This window comes from Homo sapiens, chromosome 2 (assembly GCF_000001405.40).
Source record: "Homo sapiens chromosome 2, GRCh38.p14 Primary Assembly".
Taxonomy (NCBI): domain Eukaryota; kingdom Metazoa; phylum Chordata; class Mammalia; order Primates; family Hominidae; genus Homo; species Homo sapiens.
Window position 1 is genome coordinate 41,770,225 of NC_000002.12, and position 5,106 is coordinate 41,775,330.

Genomic DNA, 5,106 nt, shown 5'->3' on the forward strand with positions numbered 1-5,106 from the left:
TTTTCTACAGTTCCTTTTCAATCGTCATTGCCTGTGCATCTTTTTCCTGTTAGCTCTTAAATATAAAGATTTCAGATGTGGGCTACAAGTCTCTTTTCTTTTTATGCACATCCTTCTGTGTGCAATCATACCAACTTCCTTGGGTCTATTACCGGGTCAACACCAAAGACCCAAACCTGCCTCGCTGATGCTAAGCTCACTGTGAATCTCAGTGCCTTCTGAGATTTCCAATTTCATGCCGAACATTAACCAAAAAATGTCCTGCTGTCACTACCAGCTCACCTATTCTAGAACTGTTTAAGAACAGAATCAATCACCTTCCCCACCAGACCACAAAAAATCTCCTTCACCTGTGTTTCCTCTTCCCACTATTCCTTTAATTATTTTCTCTTCTTTCCCTGTGTATGCACTTAGGATTCTCCTTAGTTTACCTGCGTAGAACTCCAATCCCCCACATGACTGAATGCCGTGAAATCACTAAGTCTGTTGATTCTTTTGCATTTCCATTGGTACCATCTTTATCATTTTTCACTGGGATTTTTCTGCTAGTGATTCATCTTAAATCTCTCACCTCCCCCAAATGATGTGTATTACATAGCAGTAACAGAGTCAAAGTGATGGCCACGAGGAGTGAGACCAAATCACTGGACATGCACAGAGAGTAGATATTCAGGGTGACTGCCACAGAGCACAGAGACATGTCCCCCAGGGTCTGGTTCCAAAGGGATCACAAGTCCCAAACACATCTACTTTTCAATTATTGGGGATGTGAGAATAAAGGTTATACTTCAAGGACACTAAATAATGCCTTATCCAAAGGAAGGAGGGTTTCATGCCTTTAAGAAGAGTCATGATGAAAGAAGAGATCCCTCCAAAACAGGGATGAGAGGTCTCATCAATGAGCACAATTGTCTTTTTTAATTTTCCAGAGCCATGACTGTGGCAGTAGACACAGCATTTCAGGGACCCTTTTCAGTTGAAAATCAGAGCGTCCCTTGCTGTTCCCCATCTGGTCAAGAAAGAAGATCCCTGTCTTAGTCTTATTACGGTGGAACCAGCCTACCAAGGGACACTGATGCAGGATAGAATGAAGAGACACCTTCTCCAGTCACCTTCAGCTGATTCAAAGGTTCTTGTGGTTTATCAAAACAGCATGCGATATTCCCATTCATAGGTGGGAATTGAACAATGAGAACACTTGGACACAGGGTGAGGAACATCACACACTGGGGTGGGGGGAGGGGAGGGATAGCCTTAGGAGATATACCTAATGTAAACGACGAGTTAACGGGTGCAGCACACCAACATGGCACATATATACATATGTAACAAACCTGCATGTTGTGCACATGTACCCTAGAACTTAAAGTATAATTTTAAAAAAAATCATGTGAGATAGGAACATGGTTCTAAGCTAAGCGTGTTTCTCTACTGGCAATGAACTGGTGAAGCAGATGGGAAAGGGCAGAATCCATCAAACGGCCATCAGCCAAGCAAGGCCAGCTTTGCTAACCAAATGATTCAGACACATTTGTCATTCCCCGCCTTCCATGTGCAGGTGCTGCATCTTAAAAACTTAGGGCTCCCATTTCAGCCATCCCATGTAGAAATATGCAGCCTATTTCCACTTCCCATCATGTTGCATATATCATTTCTCTTTCTAGTTTCATTGTAATTCATAGGGATTGCAGGCAACAATGAGTCAGCAATGATTAACTGGAGGAGATACCTCTAAGTCACAGATCAATTCACTTACTTCTTTAGCAATCTGAAGAAGGCATCTCATTTCTTTGTGGTTATTTTAGTAACATTGAACCTCAGTAATAAATGAGACTTCAGAGCTCATCTTTCTGTCTGAGGTTGAGTTTAAATCTTAGCAGATGGGGTAGGGAACGGGGGCAGAGAGGAAATTTTGCAAGGGGCCTCTCCTACCAGGCCACACATCCAGATAGCCTCACCCTGCACCATAAAGACTCATCTCATTTTATGACCACCAAAGGCTCTGCAGAAACTTCCCAAGTGTTAGGCAAAGATGTAGGTTCAAGGTGATTATTTCATGACTTACAGAATAAATACTTGGGAAAGAGTACTCAACCCTGAAGTCGACACTCACCAAATTACCTTTTCCAGCTAAGGTAGAGAACAATCTGATTTTTTTAGTGCTAACTATAGACTATTCTCCTAAGAAATTTTTCGGTCCTCTCCACCAGTCTGAGAGCAGGCGCTAGAAAATCGGACTGATTTACTTGATTTTCTTTCCCTGATACAACAGTGCAGTTAGCAAGAAAATGGTCAAAAAGGCAAGCAAACAGATCAGCTGAAAGAAATTAAATTAGGAAAGAGGCACAGTGAGCCCATGGACTCTTTTTCCCAGGCCTCCAGAACGTCACCACACCTTGATTTGACTCCATTAACAAACTTATCTAGAGAGAGCTGGATTGCTTGCTAGGTATTTTAGTATGTATTAAGTATAAATTCAAAAATAAAAATGCAATCCATTTTTGTGCTAGTTCCAAGAGGTGGATATAACCATCACACACAGTACTTCCTAGGATGTATTAGTTATTTACATCACTAAATAAAGCGCAAGACAGTAAAATGCGTATCCAATTTTCTGGCTATGGAGGACCTTTGGTCCATTATTTAACTTCTCAGTTTACCCATCTGTAAAATGGGTATAACAATACTTCCTACTATTCTATATAGCAGGGTTTCACAACCTCAGCATTATCAACTTTTGGGGCCAGATAATCCTTTGTCGTGGAGGGCTGCCCTGTGCATCTTAGGATGTTTAACAACATCCCTAGCCTCCACCCAGTAAATTCCTGTAGTATTCCCCCACCTCACTTATGACAATTTAAAAAGTCTCCGGATATTGCTAGATGCCCCCTGGGGGCAGAAATCATCCATAGTTTAAAATCACTGCTGTAGAGGAATAAATGAACCGATATATATTTAACTCTTAGACCTATTCCAGGCACACAGCAAATGCTCATGACTTGACCCAAAGGATAACAAGTCTGGAGAATAGAGAGACAATTTGTTCTTTAACAAAGAAGAACTTCACTTTCCTTGTAGAGCTCCTAATAAAGTTAAAAATCATTCTCTGATACATTTCTCAATCATTCTCCATCCTTCAAAGACCTTGGTGAAAGGATCCAGGTGGTACTGACTACCTGACAAACTTACAAGCACTTGCGTTATCCCCCTCTTCTCTATTGAATGATACAAGCAATTTGTTGAAAATTGTGTTTATTATCCCCGTTGATACTTGAACACCTGCCCAGCCGAAGACATTGTATACTATAGAGAATATTTTTATTGGATTTAACCAACAATAAAAATAACCCTTCTGGTCTCACTCTTTTTATCTTCGTTTAAAAACCATTTTGTTATCACATCAAAAATGCGGTTTCTCTACTACACTAAGGGAACTGTTATCGCAACTCACTGCCTCTTTGATGCCCAGCACTATCCCAGTGATAAATAATGAGCACAGCCATTCCATTAATGGACAGCTCTCAACGAGAAAGTTTGTCCTTACCCCAAGCCTAACTCTCTCTCCTTGTAATCTCTCTGCACACTGTTCAGTCAAGTACTAATTATGCAGCTGCTGTGTGCAAGGGCCCATGGCCTTGGTCCACACAGGGGTTCTATTCCCTTTCATGACAAAAATCCAGACACATGATGATAATGATGACTTCTTATTTTGGGCCTCTCTTCCCTAGCTAAACGTACCGAGTTCCGTTCACTATTTCTCATAAATTGTGGTATCCTGGCCCCTAACCATTGTGGTCTCCTTCTTTTAGATAAATTTGAATTTGTCAATGGACTCTCTAAATGAGGTATCTGCATTGCACGCCACACTCCAGCTGTTATCTAACCCAGGAAAGAACCCAGCAGGGTTATTACATCTCTGAGCTACAACCATTAGACCTGCAATGCAGCCCAAGATGGGCTATCTCTTTAGCAGGCAAAGCCTCTCAGACTCTTAAGCTTTAAGACAAAGTAAGAGCTCAGATTTTTATCATGCAAATTCCCTCCCAGCAAGTTAACCCCCACTCTGTGTACTCACAGGCCATATTTTGAACCAAAGATAATCATCTATTTATCCCTACTGTATTTAATCTTGGAGTCTTGAGCAGAGGCCAGAATGTCAAGATAGCTTTGCATGTTGGTTCTATAAATCATGGCATCAGCTACTTCTTCCTCCCCCAGTTTTTCCCAGCAGCTTTAGGCCCTCGTAAATTTTAACTTGAATAAATTGTTATATGTGTTTCTAAAAAAGAGTATGCAAATTGTAGCCCACAGCCCAAATTCAGCCACTACCTGTTTTGCAAATAAACTTTTATTGGCGCACAGCCATGCTCATTTACTATTGTCTATGACCGCTTTCCTATTACGACAGCAAAGTTAAGAATTTGCAATGGGCTGGGCACGGTGGCTCATGCCTGTAATCCCAGCACTTTGGGAGGGCAAGGTGGGTGGATCACCTGAGGTCAGTAGTTCAAGATTAGCCTGACCCACATGGAGAAACCTCATCTCTACTAAAAATACAAAATTAGCCAGGCATGGTGGTGCATGCTTGTAATCTCACCTACTTGGGAAGCTGAGGCAGGAGAATTGCTTGAACCCAGGAGGTGGAGATTGCAGTGAGCCGAGATCGTGCCATTGCACTCCAGCCTGGGCAACAAGAGTGAAACTCCATCGCAAAAAAGAAAAAAAGAAAAAAAAAAAAAGAAGTTGTAGTGGAAACCATATAGTCCACAAACCAAACATATTTACTATCTGGCCCTTTATGAAAAAATTTTATGATCCCCCAACCTAAAGCCTTGAAATATATGTAATAGACTTAAGCCAAAATCAGGGTGCTATGGACCTCCAGTTTATTTAAAATGACAAACCAGCACATTTAGGAACAGTGGCTCACACAGCTTTGAATTCATTTAAAAACAAGGCCGTTCCCAGGGCCTGTGCAGAACTCAAAATATACTCTCTGCTATTGGCATTACTTCATCCTAATAATCCCATCCAAGTAAAAATAGGATTAATGAATTAACTGTGCATTAATTCAAAATTTGTTCTCTTATGATAGAAGTAGATGAG